This window comes from Homo sapiens, chromosome 8, assembly GCF_000001405.40.
Source record: "Homo sapiens chromosome 8, GRCh38.p14 Primary Assembly".
In the NCBI taxonomy this organism is placed as follows: Eukaryota; Metazoa; Chordata; class Mammalia; order Primates; family Hominidae; genus Homo; species Homo sapiens.
The window spans coordinates 50,691,758-50,717,090 of record NC_000008.11 but is presented as its reverse complement, the minus strand read 5'-3'; the positions used below and the strand labels follow the sequence as shown (position 1 = coordinate 50,717,090).

Genomic DNA, 25,333 nt, shown 5'->3' with positions numbered 1-25,333 from the left:
TGTGTTAATTTTCACAATGCTCTATAATGTCCTTGTATATCAAGAAATGAGTAAGAGCTGGGCGCGGTGGCTCACGCCTGTAATCCCAGCATTTTGGGAGGCTGAGGCAGGCGGATCACGAGGTCAGGAGATCGAGTCCATCCTAGCTAACACGGTGAAACTTAGTCTCCACTAAAAATGCAAAAAAAAAATTAGCCGGGCATGGTGGCGGGCCCCTGTAGTCCCAGTTACTCAGGAGGCTGAGGCAGGAGAATGGCGTGAACCCGGGAGGTGGAGCTTGCAGTGAGCTGAGATCGCGCCACTGCACTCCAGCCTGGGCGACAGTGTGAGACTCCGTTTCAAAAAGAAAAAAAAAAAGAATAAGAAAGGCAGGGAATTTTATTTTTCATATTACACAATAACATATTGCATGAAAAGTTGGGTTTTTTTGAATGTCATTCAAAATACTTTTTTGTTTAAATTTTTTTGAATATTTACTTTAGGGCTATCTTTGAAATACTTGAAGATTAGGAAACAAGTACCTGAGAGTTTCCCTAAATGTCTGAGTTCGTTTTGCAATAAATACAATGTTCTTCATTTCCCTAAAAGCAAAGAAGAAATAATTTATCTGAAGAAGAACATAAAAATTACATCAAACAGCTCTTTGTATTGTTGAGCTGTAACACAATTGGAAAGAAAAAATATATATATAATTTTAAAATGCTAAGATTTATGTGAATATTGTCAGAACTATATTATAACTTGTATAGTGAAGATTTCTACTTACACAGGAGACATTTCAAGAAAGAATTCATTTTGATGTTTCAATTTTTTTAATATTTTTAGTAACTGTCTTTGATGTGAAATAATTGAAAGATTATGGAATAATAACATAAAATTTAAGAAATAAAAGGTTAATTCTATGTTGAGAAGTTTAAGCTATGGAATTCATATTATGATCATATAAATGCTTTATATAAAAAGCCTAAAGATGTGTAATAAAGTGTGTGTATGTGTGCACATGTGTGTACATGAGGGTCATACACCTTTGGGAGAAACAGTAGCTCAGAGCTCCTTCAGTTTATCAAAGCCATATCAAAGATTTTTAAAAATTAAAAGGGCCATATTAACTTCAATTCAAATTTTACCTTGAAAGATTCTAGAAATCAGTGTCGATTTAAAGGATTAAGTGGATTAGAAAGATTAAGGTATTTCATGAACTTAAAATGTTAATGTGTTAACAGTGAATTTAATTGTAAATCATAATTATTTTGGAAAATAATTAAGTCCTCTAATTTTGTAGAAAAAATATGAAAAACCAGAATGAAGTGATTTCAGCTAAGATTACGTTGATTGCCTCTTAATTCTCAGAATGTAAGTTTGCAAAATGAAGGTCAATATACATGTGAGTGGGTTTTAACAAACATCCTCCATAACAATGCTTTTAATGTATATTCAATTAAGGCTAATAAAGGAGATAAAGAGAAAATAAACCATAAAATCATTATATAATAGTATACAGTAGCTTATAACCTGTGATAGAGCTCATTCTTACGACTGTTTCCTTTTACTTCATATTTATTATCTTCATAGATCTGTTAACCAATCTTGATTTCCAAAAAATGTTTTTAACAAGCTATGTGTCAGTACTGGCTCTTAAATAAATTGAAGTAAAGAAGCCTTTATAAGTATTCTATCATAGCCATTCTCAATTTCAACTATTAAAACATTAAATAATAATAAAAGCAATCAGACTATAACAATTTGGGGGACCTAGTATTCTAGAGACCAGCAATGATATGAGTAATGCTGTCTTTTACTCTTACCCATGTTTAAGAGTCAAATTTATGATGTTCTAATAATCACAATGGATATTTACATAGTATGAATATTCTTTGTGCTACAGTGACATCCCGTGCAGCCCTGTGACTCCCGAGTTGCAGCAGGAGGAGTAAATGCTAGGTCTCAGGTGTGGGATTCCAATGCCTTCATTCTTATTTTAACTACTAACACTCAGGTGTTATTTGTTGGACGCCCATACTTATTATATAAAGAATAACTTTCAAACTTTTTTAGAATCATGGAATTTTGTAAAGCGAAAACAAAAACATAAAATGGAGGTGCCCATAACAAGTATCTACCTTTTACGGTTTTTGTTTTTGTTGTTGTTTTTGGTTTTGGTTTTTACAAAACCAAAGTTCAAAATTATTCTATAATGAGTCATTGAGGGAAAACATAAGCACCCATTAAGTATTGCCCCCACCTGCTTGATGCAAGCTGTACCTCAGCTAGAATGGTCTTTCCACTGTGTAAATTAGATTGTGGTTGAGCCTGTGCTGGACCTTGATCATGTGGCCCAATCTGTTTCTCCAGCTTTCCTCTCCACACCCACCTCCTGGAACGTTAACTTTCAATTGTACTGATGTCTCTTTGTTCTCAGGTTACACTCTGATCATTTTCCTCCCTCAATTCATAGTGTTATTCTTTGACTTTGTCATCCATGCATGTATTTTTTTCTCAGGAATGTGATAGAGTGGCAAATGCCCAGTGGAGGACAGATTTCAAAAATCTGAAATCTGATTCTGTGAAGAAAGTCAAGGGTAGCTTGATGGGAATAGCAATGAATCTATAAATCACTTTGGACCTTATGGCCATTTTCATGATATTGATTCTTCCTATCCATGAACATGGAATTTTTTTTTTTCATTTGTTTGTGTCCTCTCTTATTTCCTTGAGCAGCAGTTTGTAGTTCTCCTTGAAGAGGTCAAATTTCATAGGGAACCAAAAAAGAGCCCATATAGCCAAGACAATCCTAACCAAAAAGAACAAAGCTGGAGGCATCGTGCTACCTGACTTCAAACTATACTACTAGGCTACAGTAACCAAGTCAGCATGGTTACTGGTACCAAAACAGATTTATAGACCAATGGAAGAGAACAGAGGGATCAGAAATAACACCACACATCTACAGTCATTTGATCTTTGACAAATCTGACAAAAACAAGCAATAAGAAAAGGATTCCCTCCCCCCACCTTTTTTTTTTTTTTTTTTTGAAATGGAGTCTCACACTGTCACCCAGGCTGGAGTGCAGTGGTGCGATGTCCACTCATGGCAACCTCTGTCTCCTGGGTTCAAGCAATTCTCCTGCCTCAGCCTCCTGAGTAGCTGGGATTACAGGTGCCTGCCACCACATCCAGCTAATTTTTTGTATTTTTAGTAGAGGCAAGGTTTCATTATGTTGGTCATGCTGGTCTTAAACTCTTGACCTCATGTTCCGCCCGCCCTGGCCTTCCAAAGTGCTGGAATTACAGATGTGAGCCACCACACCCAGCCAGGATTCCCTATTTAATATATGGTGCTGGGAAAACTGGCTAGCCATATGCATGAAACTGAAACTGGACCCCTTCCTTATACCTTATATAAAAATTAACTCAAGATGGATTAAAGACTTAAACGTAAGACTTAAATATAAGACTGAAAACCATAAAAACTCTAGAAGAAAACCTAGGCAATTCCATCCAGGACGCAGACATGGGCAAAGACTTCATGACTAAAACACCAAAAGCAATTACAACAAAAGCCAAGCTTGACAAATGGGATCTCATTAAACTAAAGAGCTTCTGCACAGCAAAAGAAACTATCATCAGAGTGAACAGGCAACCTATAGAATGGGAGAAAATTTTTGTAATCTATCCATCTGAGAAAGATCTAATATCCAGAATCTACAAGGAACTTAAACAAATTTGAGAGAAAAAAACAAACAACCCCATCAAAAAGTGGATGAAGGATATGAACAGACACTTCTCAAAAGAAGACATTTATGTAGGCAACAAACATATGAAAAAAAGCTCATCATCACTGGTCATCAGAGAAATACAAATCAAAACCACAACGTGATACCATGTCACACCAGTTAGAATGGGGATCATTGAAAAGTCAGGAAACAACAGATGCTGGCGAGGATGTGGAGAAATAGGAATACTTTTATACTGTTGGTGGGGAGTGTAAATTAGTTCAACCATTGTGGAAGACAGTGTGGTGATTCCTCAAGGACCTAGAACCAGAAATACCATCTGACCCAGCAATCCCATTACTGGGTATATACCCAAAGGATTATAAATTCTCCTATAAAGACACATGCACACGTATGTTTATTGCAGCACTATTTACAATAGCAAAGACTTGGAACCAAACTAGACGCCCATCAATGATAGACTGGATCAAGAAAATGTGGCACATATACACCATGGAGTATATGCAGCCATAAAAAAGGATGAGTTCATGTCCTTTGCGGGGACATGGATGAAGCTGAAAACCATCATTCCCAGCAAACTAAGACAGGAACAGAAAACCAAACAACACATGTTCTTGCTCATAAGTGGGAGTTGAACAATGAGAACAGGTAGACACAAGGAGGGAAACATCACACACTGGGGCCTGTTGAGGGGTGGGGATATGGGGAGGGATAACATTAGGTCAAATACCTAATGCAGGTGGGGGTTAAAACCTAGATGACGGGTTGATGGATACAGCAAACCACCATGGCACATATATACCTATGTAACAAACATGCATGTTTTGCACATGTATCCAAGAACTTAAAGTGTAATAAAAAATAAAAAATAAGAAAAAGAATCTAAAAACACATTTGGAATCTGGGTTTTGCCCAGATTGTCTTAATTTCAGTCGTACATTATTCCACTAGTTTTCGATTCTCAAACACACATCTGATCATTTCTTTCCTTTGTCTCAAACCCTAAAGGTATTCCTCTGTTCTTAGAATCACTTCCAATTTCTTAACTGGACCTTTTTTCAAATCTGGCTCTTAGATACCCACAGACATGATTTCTCATCTCCTCTTCCCTCAAATTCCATGTCCATCCTCACTTACAGATATCTGTCTGGATAGTTTCATCCTCCTTGTCTCCACTTCAAGGAAACGTCTGTGAAGACTGATGTGTATGCCCTCCCATGTCTCTCAAGAGACAGCAGGCATTCAGTGAAGATTTATTCACAAATTAAATGAGTGTTTTGTAGATGCCACTGATGAGGTTTCTGTTTAACTAGGAACTCTATCACTATATAAAATTAATTAATGCACATATACATTTTTAAAAGAATATAATGGCAACAAGATTATGCTTTTAGCTATGTAAATTATTTAAGTATGGTTAACATTATACTTTGACATAATAATAATAATACCCTTCTCTAACAGTGAAAATGCTACATTTTAATAAGGAAGAGAATTACAAAGAACAAGCTGAGCTGTACAGTAATGAATTAGGGAGGGAATCACTCAGCAACAGTAAGGGAACTGAAGAATGTATCACCTCTTGATATGCTACTAATGTAAATGTAAGTATAGGGAACAGAATGCTATTTAATACGTCTTATGCTCTGGCAAGTCAAGGGTAATCGTTTACTCTGGGAACTTCCAAGCACAGGTGGTAAGTAATGAGAATTAGCTCGACATTCCCAGACATCCCTCTATATCCAAACGTTTAGCATACCAGTGTAATCTAAAATCATGCCGACTCTCATTCCCTGCAATAAGAGAGATGCAGCAATTCTTTCCTTCACTGATGTATTAAGAATACACTATTTGCTTTATATGGAGCTCAAATAATGACCCAGAATAGAGTCCACCCCTTTCCTGGAATCTCTTCTTTATTTCAAGACCTTTGGTTTGCTTCTGTAGTAACTTCAAAGTTGGAGGACTTGATCAAGATGAAGTGCAGAAGGACAAAGCATGTTCAGCTAAAGGGTAAACTCTCCTGAATCCAAACATTCAAAAACTCTTGGACATATAGTCTTAAAGATATTTTTCACATTCATATTACTTAGAAAAAATAGATAGAAAATAACTAGATATTATTTATTTTAATAAAACATTAGACAAAGCATGTTTTGATTTGTATGTAACAATTACCTTTTTATCATATTTAAAAATAACTTCCAGCCTCATCTGATGAAGGGGTGCAAGTTTCTTGCAGTCAGCCCAGCTCAGTGGGTTGCCCAGGAATCTCCATTTATGCTTGTCCTCCTCCTTATGTCTGACATAACTATTAATAGCTCCTACTTTCATTCTCCAAGTATAATCAGTGATGGATAATATAACCTTCTTGATTAATGTGTAGATTCCTTTTAGCCTTTCCCAATTCTGAGATTACCTTGAAGTTAGATGCTTCCAATGAAAGAATCAGAAAATAGAACAGTGACTACTATTCCTGAAGGCCTCTGGTGCTTTCCTTGAGTATCAAGCTTGGACTGATTAAATTCTCATTTCCTACTAAACTGTTTTCTCTGGATGGCATCATAATCATTCACTTAGACACTCCTGACTACGCACTCGTTCCCAGAACACCCAGCAGAAGTAGACAGGAATGTCAGATAGGACATTGGTGTCATGATTTTCTCCCTTATTATACAGAGCCAACAGGACACTGACATAGGTCTGTATTATGCTAGCTTTAAAATAAACTCAGAATAGATTCGCATACTCAGAAATATATTCATGTGAATTTTATTTTTCTCATTCGCTAATGTAAGATTCTTATACATTCGTGTACTAGAGTTTGGTGACAATTCTGGCAATAGCGTTTTCTTTTTAAAATCAGACTTTGACTTTTCTAGTTAGTGAAATTTGTTTCTAAATTTATTTATAAAATTAACTTATTACTCATTTAATCGATAATTTAATAATTCAATTAATTTATCAAATTAATTTAATACTCAGGAGCCTATCTTGATTTGATGAACATTTTAATAAAAAAAACTTTAGTAATAGGAATAGTTTATGGCAGCCTCATTTGAAAGTTTTCAAGAGTCATTGGCATTTAAAATTCCTTATTCACAAAGTATTCCTTTGTCATGATGTGAAGGCAACACATTAGATGGCCAAATCTGACCAGCAAATGTGTGCTGTCTAATTTTACCATGTTAAAATAAAAATAACTATATGTTTAAGTAATGTGAGATTTTGCAGGACAATGCCAACTGCTGAGTCATGAAGATTCACAAGGTGAATGAACACAGGGCGGCATCCTACCTGGATCCCACCATTAGACATTCATCTTTCCCAACTCAAGAACCCCCACTGCCTCCTACACTCCATCTTTCTTACACATTCGTATCACTGTTTTATTTTGTTGCCATTTGCTTTAGAAAATCCTACACAAAACTTAATTTCTAGATAAAATATGTGTGTTCTGGTAAAGGATTACTCATGAATCCTTAAAATTAGTGAGAAGGAACAAATCAATTTATACCCAAGCCATACTTTGATGAAGGAGGAAATGGAATGGATCTAAGGAACTGAGATCCTCAATGAGAGGGAAGAGGATGTCTTCCATGGGGACAACAGTTCCAAGTCACAAACTGTAGCAGTGACTAGAAGGAGATTAGCAGTTGAATGGGGATCAGTTGAGCTTTAAGATCGCTTCCAATTAAAAATAATGATAATAATGTGCAATGCTTTGGCTTTGTCATTTGTCATTCCATAATAATCAAAATTGGATTTTTTTAGGTATGACTGGCTGAGTAGGCACCCTCTGTCATTCAATGTGCATCACTCCCAGAGATGTACACTTTGGGAAAAGAGCACCTCATAGTGCATAATCCTTATTAAGTCAAGTGTTTATAAAAGTCCTACTCCCTGGCTAGAAACTAAACTTTAAATTTTCACCATTCAATAATTCTAACATGTCAGCTATAATTTTTTTTAAAAAAACAACATGTTTTCTTTCTTTTTGTATTGCAGAAGTTGATGCAGGTAAAGTATAAAGAAACATGTTTTTTAAAAACTGCTTTTTGGGGAAGAAAATGTCCCTTCAATTATAAAGTCATATCTTTAAAAAACAGGGAAATGATTGATAGATAGATACATACATAGATAGACTTATAAATAAATACTTTCACATAGTTATAGTTTTGTGGTACTACATATGTTTTATTAAAAATTCAAACTTTTTTTCAGATCGAAGCATAATTTATCTTCCATTAACAAAAACGAAGATCTTAAATTTGACACGATTACAATTAAAATGCTGAAAGGAGTTATGAGGCATTTAAATCATTCTTCAATTAGAATGTTTGCAGCATATTTCTCAGAGCTGACCTGAACACATTACCTTTGTTGCAGCATCAAAGCAGATAAATCCTGTGCTGAAATCAATTGTGAGTCCCATTAGATGACTTTCTAGCACACATGCATAGGTCTTGCACTAGGTAGAACAGAAAGTATTGTTACTTTTCATGTTATTGATGCAATATCAATATTATGAACTATGTTACAGCTTCTGCAATAAGTACTTCATACAATATCTAATTTAATATTAACAATAATTGTATAAAGAAGGGAGTATTATCAACATTTTAATGTTAATGAAACAGAAGCTGAGAGTGTTGGGTTTTATTTAACTTGCCAAGGTGTATGCCCCGCCGAGTTTCCAATCCTGCTCCCTCTAGTTTTGTCTGTACATTGTGCTACACTGTCTGTCTTTGCTGTGTTGACAATAAAGGTGGTATATAATATAAAAAGTTTTAGGTGTAGGCAAGTTTATGTTAAGTTGTTATTTACTGTAGCCAACCATTTTCATTAAACTAAAAGAGAACTATTGTTAAATAGCACTGTCTTGAATTCTCAGGATATCAATTTCATGGATATTATTAAACCACATTCTCATGCACACAAATACAGATTCAGTAACCAAGCCAAAAGAATAGATCTTGATCTTAACAGTCTTACTCTGTTCTTCGATATTGCACGAGATATTCCTACAGATATTTACCACTTTCCAATTTATTTGTTTATAACTACAGATAATTCTTTAAAAATCAACAAGTAATTACTTTTCACAATGAGATCAGATAATATTATAATTTTTCTTGTTTGGGGTTTTTTTTTTTGAAACAGAGTCTTGCTCTGTTGCCCAGGCTAGAGCGTAGTGGTGCGGTGTCGGCTCACTGCAACCTCTGTCTGTTGGGTTCAATAAATGCTCTTCCCTCGGTCTCCTGAGTAACTGGCATTACAGTCGCCCGCCACCGTGCCTGGCTAATTTTTGTATTTTTAGTAGAGACGGGGTTTCACCATCTTGGCTGGGCTGGTCTCGAACGCCTGACCTCGTGATCCACCCGCCTCGGCCTCCCAAAGTGCTGGGATTACAGGCGTGAGCCACTGTGCCCAGCCTAATTTTTCATAGTAAATACGGATACTGAAATATAAAGAAAACAGGATATAAATCAAATATGAAATAAAAACTTAAGGTTTATATACGACATGATGTATTGTTACATCTATAAGCCAGTTTTATTTGCATTTAATTTTAAATCGTAGTGGGATATTCCAATCATGAAAAATATTTGTGATCCATGTACAAGATGAGAGAGAAATAGAGACAAAGAGAGAGAAGAAAAAAAGGAAGAGAAGTTTATCTGAAGCAAATTTTTAACACCTATCCTTGCATTGTATTTGTTTTTATAGTACTGTGTATAAAACTACATTAATTGAATCCCATTCTGAATGTAATCATGACTAAATACATCGAGTTGCCTTCACCAAAAATTACATTCATGTGTTTAAGCCTTATTAGCATAGAAAAATTATAATAATGCAAAATTATTCTTTTAGAGTTACATTTTTTTAAAAAAAGCAGACTAAAGAACATACTTAATGGGCCTCAAAAGTCCATTTTCAGGAGTAATTATATTTGTTTAATACATAAGCATTGTGCATGCTTACATCCACCTATTAGCACTTTATTAAAACTATTATCAACATTAAGGAATGTTTAAGGCCATAAAATTTTCTCCTAATTTAGACATAATGGTTTGCTTATTTCAAGCACTGTCATTTAAACAAGAAAATGTCAGGTGAAAATAAATTCGGTGCAGTGTATTAAAATTTTTTTATTATGTTCAGCATTACAAATTAAATTAGATTTTCTCAATAATCATGAAATTGAAACAAATAGATGTGCTATAAATTGAGACTCATTGAAGTCTCAATTTATATACAGACTCAAGTTCTATCATTTATAATATTAATAGCATATCATGCGTATAGTTAATATGTTTAATATTGAAATATTTAATTTGTTGTTTAATTTGTTTCCTTAAAAACAAATTATACAGAGAAAAATCAATACATAAATTATCCTTTTTAAGGAAGTTTAAATGAGGAACACTTTGAAAGTCAATTCATTAATTTTTTTCTTTCTGCTTGTTTTACGATAGAACTTATATTCCTTCTTTATTTAATTCCCTATCAACTTTACTGGAAGTGATAAATTAAGAATATAGAAGAAAAACGTGTTAAGGTTCTTCATGTAAATATATTCACATACTTTAAATTTGAAAGTAATACTACAAAGGTGTTCATTGATTTCTTATGTGGTAAATAAATAAGAGTTATAAAATCTGTAGAACAACTAAAAGCTAAAAAGACATTAAATGTTTTACCTTTCACTTCTGATGTTTATCTTACACTGGCATTGTGAATGGGTAAGGAAATAGGCCAATGTATTTCACTGAATATCAGTTTACAGAATACAAAGCCCAGATTCAAAGATTTTATCTCTATCTAATTTATAAATATCAGGAGACTTAAAATAAAATACTAAATTGGAACCAAAATGTTAAAATTACCATGTAGCTGTTTCCAAGCGAAGTGGACTATTGTAGAGAAATAATAATTTTAGAAACCTAAAAATATAAATTTCAATAACAAAACTGTCAACTTACATTCCATTAAATTATATTTTAATGCTTTAAATGGTCTTGGATCTTGACTCAGAATAAAATCATATTTAATATAGTTTTGTTTCCATTTTTGATATAATATCTATTTTTTTGAATTGAGGTTCTAATTGTGGAAACTATTTTTTGGCTATTTAAGACTTTTTAGGTGCATGAAGATAAAAGCAGAGTTATTGAAAAGAGTCAACTGAACAATTAAAAAAACTATAATTGGAGTTTTCTTTCTGTCCTCTTCCCCTGATTGTAATGTCATACTGGTACAACTTGATGTGTTGATTACAGAGGTTTGTAGTCAGAAAATAGAAATCAGTTCAACATGTTCAAAATATATGTATCCAACAATCCTGTTTTACGCAAACATTCCAGTATAGTCAATGCTAGATTATTCACCACATTTGTTTTCAAAATTAAGTGTCCATGTGTGTATTTAGGTCCTTGCTCTATGGATCTATTTGCATGTGGCAAGCGCATGAAAACCTTTTAATTTGTCCACAGGTCTGTTTGAGGTCAGCCACAGGACCAACTTTGGGAGGCTGTTTTGTTCAATGGTCTTGTGAAGACAGAAGCTGAGGGCTCTATAAAGTTTGATCTAGTGTATAACTTCACACTTAAGAAACAAAGTTCAATAAATATCTGTTGAATACTCATGATGTGCAAAATGCACTGGACTTTGGTTGGCACATGATAAGATAATTCCAAACAACCTATAATTTAGTGCAGGGAATAACAAGCACATGTCACTGCAATACAAAACAGACTGAGTGTGTGCAATCCTTAAAAAAAAAAGACAAATAAATAGAAGAATCTTATAGATGCTGCTATAAATAAGTAGAAAACACAGTATAAATTTTATCACTAAACTACACTATTTTAAAATCTATTTCCTATATTGTATTTCTAATCAGATGTATTACTTTTATGATTTTTATTGTTGTATGTGTTAATGACTTCATGTAAAAATGTAATTGCTTTTCATGAGTAGTATGAATACAATTGATTAGTTTGTGTTTTCTTATCTGTAAAAAAACCAGAAAAGTACATTATATTGTGTTCAAAAGTGAGAAGAAGAGTTGTTTGAACAGGATAGTTGTAGAAGGAGTATTGGCAAGCATTAGGCAGGGTGGACTGGAAATCAGGGACATGTTCCTGGATGATATGACCTTTGATAAAAAGTCTCAAAAACTCTGTGTGGCTTTGAAGGATGGAGGCAAAGGGAAAGAGCATTGTGAGTAAATGACGCCAACAGGCTGGAAATTAGGAGGTCATATTTGGAGAACAGGAAGTGACCTTGTCAACAATTCATTAAATCAGAGTATTTTCTATATTAGATTTAAGTCAGAGTAATGTCTAATTAAAATTAGAAATATATTTTTAATTAGTAGTAGGAAATAGCCTGGAAAGATCAAGTCGTGGAAAAATTAAAATTTTATTCAGAGCTGTATTACTAGTCACTAAACAAAAATGGCTAATTATAGAATGTATATGAGGTCAAGATTCCCAGAACTGTATTTTTACACTACTTTGGAATGATATTAGAACTCTAGGGAAGTGGTCATGCATCTGAGGGAGCCACACATCCTGCAGTCCCACAGACTCTCACCTGTATCCGTTCTACTTCTAGAAAGGTTGCTGTCTGGAAGGCTCTTTCCCACTGGGCGAGGTCACTTTCCAGCTCCACTGAGAAGTACAGGTCCTCCCCAGACTCAGACTGCACGGTGAAGCACTGTTTCCGTCGGTCCAGCAGGTCACTGTCCTGGTGAAAACCTGGAGTTACACAGGCTGGCACACATCACTTCACATTGCTAACCTGGCCATTCCTGACTGGACCAAGGTGCAGAAGCCACAGGTAAAAAGACAACACTCTGCGAATTCACCAAGTCTTCATTAGACATTATACCAGAACTCCGGGCTTCAAAGCCCCAACACATGACTTCTCTGTCTTTACACTGAAGCATGTCCATAAAATAGAAGTTAGGGTTTCTGGCTTCATCTCTTACTAACAATATAACCACCAAAGCATTTAACATACAAGACTTGGTTTATTACTCTACAAAGGGGTGACACACTATCTCTTCCCTTCCTTACATAACTGTTATGATGTTGAAATTAAATAATGCTTGTGAACATGTTTGTAAATTTTAAGGAACTTTATAAGCAAACCAAAATATTCTTCTCCATGAGAAATGAAAAAGAAAATGAGTCTAATTTGTCTACAGCAATAATATTGCTTAAAAAAAAACGCATTATTTACCTTACTTGTGTAACTGTATTTCATTGTATCAAAAAAACGACTTTGATGCTGGCAATTTCTTGGTCTTACCAGAAGTTTTCAACTGAAGTGTTCACAAATTTACATATATTCCAATTTAAGAGACATTAACATGAGAAAAAAAAGTGAAGCAAATAATTTATGAAACAGAGTAACCCAATGCAACATGTCAGATATAGCATTTTAAATACAGTCATGTGCCGCATAAGGATGTTTGGGTTAATGATGAACTGCATATGCGACGGTGATCCTATAAGGTTATAAGGGAGCTGAAAAATTCCTATCCCCTAGCAATGTCATAGCCGTTGTAATGTCATAGAGCAATGCATTACTCTTGTGTTTGTGGTCATGCTGGTGTAAACAAACCTGCTGTGCTGACAGCTGTGTAAGTCTAGCACATACGATTATGATGTATGCTACATAATAATAATGATGATAAGAAAGAATATGTTACTGGTTTATGTATTTACTGTATTATAGTAATACAGTAAATATTACTGTATTTACTGTACTCCTATTTTTTTAGTGTACTCCTTCTATTTATTAAAAATATAGTTAACTATAAAACAGGCTCAAGCAGTTCCTTCAGAAGGTATCCAGAAGACGGCATCATTATCATAAGAGATGACAGCTCCATGCGTGTTATTGCCCCTGAAGACCTTCCAGTGGGACAAGATGTGATGATGGAACTCATCCTGACTATATGCAGGCCAAGGTTAATGTGTGTGTTTCTGTCTTATTTTTTATAAAAATTTTAAAAAGCCAAAAATAAAAAAGTAATTTGTAAATTTAAAAGTAGAAAAAAAATGTAGAGAATAAGGATATAGAATAATTTTGTACAGCTACATAATGTGTTTGTGTTTTAAGCTAAGCACTTCTACAAAAAAGGCCAAAGTTGAAAAAATTAACTTTGTAAAGTAAAAAATGTTACAGTAAGCTAAGCTTAGTTTATTATTGCAGAAAAAAATACTTCTTATAAATGTAGTGTAGTCTAAGTGCTCAGTATTTATAAAGTCTATAGTGCTGTATAGTAACATCCTAGGCCTTCACATTTACTCATCACTCATTCATTGACTCACCCAGAGCAACTACCATTCTGCAAACTCCATTCATGGTAAGTGCCCTGTATCTGTGTATCATTTTTTTTTTAAATCTTTTAGACTGTACTTTTACTTTACTTTTTCTATGTGTAGATGTGTTTAAACAACTACTTACCATTATGTTACTTTTGCCTACAGTATTCAATACAGTCATATGCTATACAGGTGTGTAACCTAGGAGAAATAGGCTGTACTGTATAACCTCGCTGTGCAGTACGTTATGCTGTCTCAGGTTGTGCAAGCAAATTCTGTGGTGTTTGTACAACAGTGGAACCATCTAACTGAGAGGCATTTCCTGAAATATATCTCAGTTATTAAATGACTGTATATATGCTATATCTATGCAGTGTACTGAAAATTGTCAAAGGGTTAATCACTGGTATCTGTAATCATTTCTCATAAGGAGGGATGTAAGTGTATCATTATTAAACACCCAAAATGTTAGATGGAATTCTCTGCTTTGGCAAATGTTTAAAAAATAATAACTATTTTCATTGTTTCCTGCTTGCATTCTTATAATTGCTGGAAGAGAGCTAATGGAAGGCATTTACTTCCAGGGTTGTAGAATTTAGCTCTGACCCTTGCTGCCAGTAGATGCTCAGAAAGCTAAAAGGATGATAAATGCTGTGCTTATTGATTTTCCTACTCTGTCTGAAGGGAGAAAAAAATGAAAACATAATATGTTTGAGAGTACAATCTAATGATAAATTATAAATACTTTTTAGTAGTTTTGGGGTTATAATATCTATGGAGGGAACAATGAGAGATAATAACTACACAAGTAAATATATTAGTACAAATTATTGTAAATGCCATTATAAAAAAAATAAGAGGCTGGGCGCAGTGGCTCATGTCAGTAATCCCAGCAATTTGGGAGGCCGAGGTGGGCAGATCACTTGAGGTTGGGGAGTTCCAGACCAGACTGTCCCACATGGTGAAACCCCATTTCTAATAAAAATACAAAAATTAGCCGGACATGGTGGTGCATCCCTGTAATTCCAGCTACGTGGGAGTCTGAGGCAGGAGAATCACTTGAACCTAGGATGAGGAGGTTGCAGTGAGCCAAGACTGTGCCACTGCATTCCAGCGTGGGCAACCAGAGGGAAACTCCATCTCAAAAAGAGGAAGAAGAAGAGGGAGAAGGAGGAGGAGGAGGAGGAGGAGAAGAAGAAGAAGAAGAAGAGGAGGAGGAGGAGGAAGAGGAAGAGAAAGAAGAAGAAGAAGAAGGAGAAGAAGGAGAAGAAAAAGAAAAAGAAGAAGAAAAAGAGGAAGATGAAGAGGAAGAGGAAGGCAAAGAAGAAGAAGAAGAAGGAAGAAGAAGAAGAGGAAGAAAAAGAGGAGGAAGAAGAAGAGGAAGAGGAACACGAAGAAGAAGAAGAAGAAGAAGAAGAAGAAGAGGAAGAAAAAGGTATTATATCACAATAGATTGAAAAGCTAGAGAAATGTTCTCTAGGAAGTAAATTTTAAACAGTGGCTGAAAACGAGTAGAATATCAAAGATAAAGTATAGAAAAAGGGTGTTCTTTCCAGAGAGTGGATGGGACTGGCTGGGGCCAAGTCAGGCATTTCAGAAATTCAAAGAAAAGGAGGCAGAAACATTGAGAGCTGAAGCTAGGGAAGGACATGGGATGATTGATCTGGTTATAAATTTTGGACTTGAACACAGTATAATGACAAGCTACTATAGCAAAAATTTTAGTATGCCCTCTCTTTATACTGCAGATATTTCAACATCTACCTTAGCTTTTTAAATTGATAAATTGGCAAAAATCTATAACTAAACGTTGCAGTTTCCAGAAACCTTGCCAATTTTATGGTTTATTAAATTGCCCTTCATTTTCCTTATAATAAAAAATATTATCTAATGTCATTATTAGTCAGAAAATTTTGTTATTTTTTCCTTTTCATAAATCACATGTAGCAATAGGATCTTAAAATGGACTTCATGTAAGATTTTCTATTCTCTTAGCAAAACTTTACTCCTTTGCTCTTTTAAAACTCAATTTAAGATCTTCTGTTATATTACCCAAGTCGTGACTCTCTCTCAGACAAAGCATCCTCTAATCAACTCTGCAAATATAGTTTCAGCATCTCTGAAAACTTCTTGCCATTTCCTGTTGTTATTTATAATATACTTCTCATGAACTGACTCACACTGCAAATGGCATCTGAGCACCCAGGTCTCATTTTAGTGAGGGAGAGAAATATGTTAAAATAACGAGCATATGACAGTGCTATAGAGGTAACATGCTAAGGAAGCAGAATAAGGAACGATAAATCATCTTGAGGGAAAGTAGGAGGGGGAAAGTTGTATTGTAGGGAGAGACTGTAGTACCATCAAGGACTTAAAGACAAATGCAAGAGCAACCTGGTGCAAGCCTGAAAAAGACCAGGTGATCCTGCTAAGAAATTCATAGAATGCACCTGCCAGGAAAAGATATTGGAGAGTTAAGTGAGAAGGGGGCAGCATAGACTCTAAGCTTTAGATGGCTAAGAGTGGATGGGTGGGAGGAGGAGAAACTTTGGAAAAAGCAGGGGTTCCTTTATCAGAAATTTAGTGAAAAGTGACTATAGCTCAATCATTTTAAAGATCTACTTTCAACATAATCATCTAAAATCATTGACACTAGATTTCTTTTACTAGAGTTTCTACCTTTGCTGCCTATAACATTTCAAAAGATTGTGTTCCTTTACGGTTGCAGTCATTATCAAGTTATATGCAAGTAATAATATATATATAACTAACTGAAAAACTAAATAAGATACTCTTAGAGACTGGCATTGACTAGAAGTATTAGTATAATAAGGAGTATTTACACGATTATCCACATAGGTTTAAATAAGAATGTATATATTCCTCTTTCTCACCCTCATTCTCTCTCTAACACACATGCAGGAGCTGTTATAAGGTGATAAGAACAAAAGTTCTAGCTTCAGAATTCTGTCTTGATTTGAATCTCCTCTCTTTTATTTATTAATAGGTAATCCTTGTCAAGTTGATTACCATATATATAGCTTCCTTCACTCATCACTAAAGTGGAAATAATTAATTGATCTGATGATTAAATAAGATACTATATTTAATTCTTTGCTTAGTATCTAATACTTGGAAGTACTTAATGTTGGAAATTTTTGTTGTCAGTATTGATTCAATAAAATAAATACAGATAAATATTCGTATCATTTCCTAACTTGCCTTCTATGGCTTGCTCTCTGCATGCATTTCTCTTTTGTCATAGTTTGACTTATGCCCCAGTAGAAAGAATAGCCTCCAGAATACTTTTTTGCCAACTGGAAAGTATCATTTAATAATAGTAATGATAATAATAATAGCTAAACATATCAAGAACTCATCAGTTGCATTTTTCTCAATTTTCTCACTTCTCCAGAAGTATCTTCTATTTTGTTAGATTTGTTCCAAGTTCTCTCAGATTTATAAAGCAATATTACAAAGAAACAACAGGTTTTTTTTTCAAGATGGCTGACTAGATGCTTTTCCAGGGTACTTCATCCACTTAGAAGAATGACAATGGTGTGTAGACAATCACACTTTGCACATATGAAAGCAAAATCAAATATTGGGACCCCAAACTCACTATACCAAAGGGCTAAGTTTAGGTAGTTAGTCATGAAAAAACTGCCTTCCTTTCATTCCCAAAAAGCTGTAATTTCATGTTTACTTTATGTAAAATGTAGCTTTTCTGCTCATTAGTAAGATCCTCACAAGAATGTGACCACTTATCTCATTGCCTACCCAGACTTTTTTTCTTTCTTCCTCTTCCTGCTTGCTTTTTCCCTGTTAAATATTGAAGTTCCCAGAACCCTTTTTAAAAAAAAGCACAGGGTACAGATCTCCTTGTGATTTGTGTTTCTTTTTCCCAGGCATGTTCTCAACCTTGGCAAAATAAATCTCTAATTGATTAAGATCCACCTCAGTAACTTTTTTGTTTACAAACATATTATCCAAGAGAGAACACAGGAGTTCAACAGTAACACACGAAGAAACTCCAAAATCTGACCAGAAAAAGAAGAACAGTCAGCCTGTGTGGCTGTGGGACTGGCTGAAAATGAGAAGAGAGTAAATTCCCAATATGGGAGAGGGTGAGTGAGTATCTTTCTGTGGTCCAATTTCCCACTATAGAATCATATAATTCAGGCCACGGTAGAGCACCATGACTTTTCTAAGCCCTAGATCTACCTTGGGATGTGGCTGGGAGACTGTAAGAAGTACCTGCTCTGGGAAGTGTCCCATGCACTTCCCGAGACCTTGGAACCTACAACAGAACACCATTCTTGATCCTAGCTCTTTGCAAGCTGTGCACAGTCCTGAAAACTAGCAGCAGTGGCAGCCTTTGTCATTAAAGAGGCTCTAACAGTATCCTGGGGATCTGGTGCTCAAGCAGGGAAGAGGTTCCCACAGCCAGAACCGAGAATCAAGTATGGCATGGGCTCCAGCCATTGGCATGCTGGAACCAGGCTCACCCCATCTTTCACTTCACCCCCTTCCCCCACCAGTACAGGAGGGGATTTGTTTGGGAGGCATAGTGTTGGGCTGTGCAGTGACTCCTAAGGCCTGGGGCAGCTTGTGTTGACAACTAGAAGTAAACTGCACTAACTAAGTGAACAGCCAAACCTACTGACAAAGTTGAGAAGGTGGTGAGCCCCACCAAAAATGGGGGCATGAGAGAGAATCACATCTCACTCCTCTTGGCCAAGGTAGCAGTACTGAGTCCACACCCTTATGCTTATATGCTCACAAACTAGAAAACCTAGAGGAAATGGACAAATTCCTGAAAACTTACTACTTCCTAAGATTGAATCAGGAAGAAATAAAAACCATGAATAGAGAAATAACAACATTGGATTTAAAATCCAATAAAAAAATCTCCCAACTACGAAAAGTCTCCCAACAAAGAAAATCCCAGGAACAGATGGATCCACAACCAAATTCTAGCAAATGTACAAGGAAGAACTGGTGCCAATACTCCTGAAACTTTTCAAAAAACTGAAAAGGAATTTCTCCCTAACTTATTATACAAATCCTGTATCACCCTGACACCAAAGTCAGCCAGAAACACAATAACAAAAAATAAAACTACAGACCTATATCCCTAATTAACACAGATATAAAAATTATCAATAAATTCTCAACAAACTAAATCCAACACATCAAAAAGATATTACATCATGACCAACTTGATTTTACACCAGAGATGCAAGAATGATTCAACATATGCACACAAATAAATGTCATACATTACCTAAACAGAATTAAGGCCAAAAATCATATGATCATCTCAATAGACACAGAAAAAGAATTTTTTAAAATTCAACATCGCTTCATAAGAGCACAAGCTCAAAACCCTCAACAAATGAAGCATAGAAGGAACATACCTCAAAATAATAAAGGTCATATATGACAAACCCACAGTCAACATCATACTGAAAATGGAAAAGTTGAAAGTATTCCCCATAAGAACTGGACTTTGAGAAGGTTGTCCACTCTTACCACTCCTATTTAACATAGTAATAAAGTACTAGCCAGAACAATTAGGCAAGAGAAATAAACCAAAGTCATCCACATTGGAAAACAGAAAGTCAATTGTCCTTGTTTGCTGATGATATAATCATGTATCTCAAAAAATCTGAAGACTACACCAAAAAACTTTTATTTTCGATGAATAAATTCAATAAAGTTTCACAATACAAAATTAACATACAAAAATCAGTAGCTTTTCTACACAGCAACAATAATGCAGTTGAAAGGAGGGCAATCTTATTTATAATAACTTCCAAAAAAACCCGGAAATACATTTAAGCAAGGAGGTAAAAGAGCTCTACCAGAAAAACTGCAAAACACTGATAAAAGAAATTATAGTTGACACAAACATATGACAAAACAGCTCATACTTATGGATCAATAGAATTAATATTGTTAAAATGGCCATATTTCCCAAAACAATTTACAATTTCAATGCAATGTCTATCAAAGTACCAATGTCATATTTCACAGATTAGAAAATAAATTCTAAAATTGATATGGAACCCCAAAAGACCCCAAATTAGCCAAAGCAATCATAAACAAAAATAACAAAGCTGGAGGCATCACATTACCTGACTTCAAATAATACTAGATGTCTATAGTAAGCAAAATAGCATGGTACTGGCATAAAAACAGACAAATAGATCAATGGAACAGAAGAGAGATCCCAGAAATAAAGCCATCAGTCAAGTGATGCCACAGCCAAGTGAACTTTGTCAAAGTCAACAAGAATATACACTGGGTAAAGGACATCTTATTTCATAAATGGTGCTAGGAAAATTGGATGGCCATATGCAGAAAATGAAACCAGACTCCTATCAATCACCATATAAAAAATTAACTCAAGATGAATTAAAGACCATAAGATTCGAAACTATTAATATCCTAGAAGAAAACCTAGGGATGTCTTCTGGACATTGGCCTAGGCAAAGATTTTATGACCAAGTCCTCAAAGCAAACATAGGACTTAATTAAATTAAAAACTTCTGCAAAGCAAAAGAAATAACTGACAAAGTAAATATACAACCTAAGAATGAGAAAAAAATATTTTCAAGCCATGCAACTAAGAGAGGGCTAATATCCAGAATCTATGAGGAACTCAGACAACTCAACAAGAAGAAAACAAATAACCCCATTAAAAAGTGGGCAAAGGACATGAACAGACATTTTGTCAAAAGAAAACATACAAGTGACCATCAGACATTTGAAAAAATGCTCAACATCACCAATCATAAGATAAATTCAAATTTAAGCCACAGTGAGATACCATCTTATCCCAGTCAGAATGGCTATTACTAAAATGTCATAAAATAACAGATTTGGTGAAGATATAGAGAAAAGGAAATGCTTATACACTGTTGGTGGAAATGTAAATTGGTACAAACTTTATGGAAAACAATATGGAGATTCCTCAAAGAAATAAAAATAGAACTACTATTCAATCTAGCAATTCCACTACTGGGTATATATCCAAAGGAAAAGAAATCATTTTATCAAAACATGACCTGCACTCATATGTTTATCACAGCACTATTCAAAATAGCAAACATATGGAATCAACCTATGTGATGAATAATAAAAATTATATATATACATATATGTATATATAATTCAATACTACTCATCCATTAAAAAGAATACAATTATGTCTTTTGCAGCAATATTGATGGAACTGGAGGCCGTTATCCTAAATGAAATAACTCAGAAATAGAAAGTCAAATACTGTAGATCCTTACTTATAATGGGAAGTAAACAATGGGTAAGCCTGGACATATAGAATGGAATAATAGACATTGAAGACTTCAAAGAGTAAGAGGGTGGAATATGGGTAAAGATTAAAAATTTACCTATTTGGGTAATAGGCGCACTAGAAGCTCACACTTCACCACTACACAATATATGCATGTAAGAAATATACACTGGTACTTCCTAAGTATAAATAAATAAATAAATAAGAAATAAAAAACAGACAAAAATTAAAAGTCACTCATAATTCCTTCATTTAGGAATAATTATTAATATTTTGGCTTATCTACTCAGTAAATAAACTATACTTGACTGTCAGAAACAGTCTATTGCTAAGCATTTTGTGTATCTATTATAAACGGTATTGTTTGATTTTTTTAAAACATTGGTTGTTAATGTAAAGAAACACTACTAATTTTTGTGTTGATATTGTATCCTGTAACTTTCCTAAATTTGTTTCTATTTTTAACGGTTTTTTTTGTGTGTGTGTGTGAGTGGGGGGATCTTGGGTTTTTTTTTACATATAAGATCATATCACCTGCAAACAGGGACAATTTAGCATTTTCTTTTTCAGTCTTTATGCCATTTATTTCTTCCTCTTGCCTAATTTCTCTGGCTTGGACCTTCAACACTATAATGAATACGAGTGGTGATAGTGGGCATTCTTGTCTTGTTTCAGGTCTTACAGGAAATGCTTTTAACTTTTCCTTGTTGAGAATAATGTTGACTTTTGGCTTGTCATATATGGCCTTTATTGTGTTGAAGTACATTTCTTTTATAACTAATCTGTTGGGAGTTTTTTTTTTTTAATTATAAAAGAATGTTGAATTTTGTCAAATGCTTTGTGTTTTATAAAATAATTATATGATATTTGTCCTTCATTTCATTAATGTGGCGTATCCCATTTATTAATTTGCAAATGTTGAACCATCTTTGCATTCCAGGGATAAATCCCACTTGATCATGGTAAATGATTATTTTAATGTGTTGTTGAATTTGGTTGGCTAGTATTATGTTGAGGATTTTCACAGTTATGTTTATAAAGTGTGTTGGCCTATAATTTTCTTTTCTTATGATGTCTTTGCCTTTGGTATCAGGGTAATGTTATCCTCATAAAAAGAGTTTGGAAGTGTTCCCTCATGAATTATTTGGAGTAATTGGTAGAAAATTGGCATCAGTTCTTTTTAAAATGTTTGATAGAATTCAACAGTGAGGCCATCAGGCCTTGGGATTTTCTCTGATGGGAGACTTCTTATTACTAATTCAGTCTCCTCACTCATTATTGTTCTCTTCACATTTTTATTTTTTCAGCATTTACTCTTAGTAGGTTGTATGTGTCCCAGAATGTATTCATTTCTTCTAGGTTATCCAATTTTTTGGCATATACTTTTTCATAAATTTGTTTATGATCCTTTGTATTTCTGTGGTATCAGATGTAATATTTCATTTTTAATCCCTGGTTTTATTTATTTGAGTCTCTTATCTTTTTTCTTAGTTTAGCTAAAGGTTGTGAATATGATACATTTTTTCAAAAAAAAAAACTTCATTTCCTTGGTCTTTCTTTTCTAGTCTCTAATTTGTTTATTTATGTTCTTTATTATTTTCTTCCTTCTAATAATTTTGGACTGTTTCCTCTTGCTTTTCTAATTTCTTGAGGTGTAACATTAGGTTGCTTATATGAAATCTTTCTCCTTTTCTAATGTAGGTGGTTGTTGATATAAACTTCCCTATAAGATTTGCTTTTCTGTATCCCATAGGTTTTGGTATGTTATGTTTTCATTTTCATTTGTCTTAAGAAATTTTTAAATGTATCTTTCAATTTTATCATTGACCCATTGGTTGTTCAGGAGCATGTTGTTTAATATTCATATATTTGTGAATTTATAAAATCCTTACTGTTATTGATTTCTAGTTTCATATTATTGAGGTTGAAAAAGTACTTGATGTGATTTTAATCTTCATAAATTTGCTGAGACTTGTCTTGTGGCTTAAATGATTTATCCTAGAGAATGTCCCATATGTGCTTGAGCAGAATGTGTATTCTGTTGCTGTTAAGTGGAAGGTTCTACAAATGTTATGAGGTTCATTTGGTCTAACGCATTGTTCAAATCCAGTATTTCCTTATTAATTTTCTGTCTGGGTGATCTGTCCAATATTGAAGCCTCTATAATTGTTATATTGCAATTCATTTCTCTTTTCAGGTCCTTTAATATTGGCTTTATATATTTAGGTGTCCTACTGTTGGGTGCATTTATATATTTACAATTGTTACACACTCTTAAAGAACTTATCCCGGGGGAGGAGCCAAGATTGCCGAATAGGAACAGCTCCGGTCTACAGCTCCCAGAGTGAGTGATGCAGAAGACGGGTGATTTCTGCATTTCCAACTGAGGTACCAGGTTCATCTCACTGGGGAGTGCCAGATAGTAGGTGCAGGACAGTGGGTGCCCTGCACTGTGCACAAGCCGAAGCAGGGCGAGGCATCACCTCACCCGGGAAGTGCAAGGGGTCAGGGAATTCCCTTTCCTAGTCAAAGAAAGGGGTGACAGACGGCACCTGGAAAATTGGGTCACTCCCACCCTAATACTGCGCTTTTCCAATGGGCTTAAAAAAAGGGCACATCAGGAGATTATATCCTGCACCTGGCTCAGAGGGTCCTATGCCCACGGAGTCTTGCTCATTGCTAACACAGCAGTCCGAGATCAATCTGCAAGGTGGCAGCAAGGCTTGGGGAGGGGCACCACCATTGCCGGGTTAGTTTGATTAGGTAAATGAAGTGGCCAGGAAGCTGGAACTGGGTGGAGCCTACCACAGCTCAAGGAGGCCTGCCTGCCTCTGTAGGCTCCGCCTCTGGGGGCAGGGCACAAACAAACAAAAAGACAGCAGTAACCTCTGCAGACTTAAATGTCCCTCTCTGACAGCTTTGAAGAGAGTAGTTGTTCTCCCAGAATGCAGCTTGAGATCTGAGAACGGGCAGACTGCCTCCTCAAGTGGGTCCCTGACCCCCAAGTAGCCTAACTGGGAGGCACCCCCCAGTAGGGTTGGACCGATACCTCACATGGCCAGGTACTCCTCTGAGACAAAACTTCCAGAGGAACGATCAGGCAGCAGCATTTGCGGTTCACTAATGTCCGCTGTTCTGCAGCCACCGCTGCTGAAACCCAGGCAAACAGGGTCTGGAGTGGACCTCCAGCAAACTCCAACAGACCTGCAGCTAAGGGTCCTGTCTGCTGGAAGGAAAACTAACAAATAGAAAGGACATCCACACCAAAAACCCATCTGTATGTCACCATCATCAAAGACCAAAGGTAGATAAAACCACAAAGATGGGAAAAAAAATAGAGCAGAAAAACTGGAAACCCTAAAAATCAGAGCGCCTCTCCTCCTCCAAAGGAATGCAGCTCCTCACCAGCAGTGGAACAAAGTTGGATGGAGAATGACTTTGACGAGTTGAGAGAAGAAGGCTTCAAATGATCAAACTACTCCGAGCTACAGGAGGAAATTCAAAACAAAGGCAAAGAAGTTAAAAGCTTTGAAAAAAAATTAGACAAATGGATAACTAGAAGAACCAATGCAGAGAAGTCCTTAAAGAACCTGATGGAGCTGAAAACCAAGGCATGAGAGCTACGTGACAAATGCAGAAGCCTCAGTAGCTGATGAGATCAACTGGAAGAAAGGGTATCAGTGATGGAAGATGAAATGAATGAAATGAAGTGAGAAGAGAAGTTTAGAGAAAAAAGAATAAAAAGAAATGAACAAAGCCTCCAAGAAACATGGGACTATGTGAAAAGACCAAATCTACATCTGATTGGTGTTCCTGAAAGTGACAGGGAGAATGGAACCAAGTTGGAAAACACTCTCCAGGATATTATCCAGGAGAACTTCCCCAATCTAGCAAGGCAGGCCAACATTCAAATTCAGGAAATACAGAGAATGTAA

General features: G+C 35.2%; 1 protein-coding gene across 18 annotated transcripts in view; it reads right to left on the bottom strand.

The window, feature by feature from the left end:
* SNTG1 (syntrophin gamma 1) overlaps positions 1-25,333 on the bottom strand; it is an 886,897-nt gene that overhangs the window by 79,602 nt on the left and 781,962 nt on the right. For 10 of the 18 annotated variants that reach the window (NR_135794.2, NM_001287813.3, XM_047421896.1 and 7 more), the window contains 2 exons: positions 12,339-12,491; positions 8,113-8,205 (listed from right to left, as the gene is read on the bottom strand). Coding sequence is in view for 13 of the 18 variants with exons in the window: in NM_001287813.3 (NP_001274742.1) it covers positions 8,113-8,205; positions 12,339-12,491 (246 nt within the window). In the remaining 5 variants the exon portion in view is untranslated. Of the gene's footprint in view, positions 1-7,910; positions 8,206-12,338; positions 12,518-25,333 lie in introns of those variants that run through there. The other 8 variants (NM_001321775.2, NM_001321776.2, NM_001321777.2 and 5 more) reach the window with 4 other exon arrangements.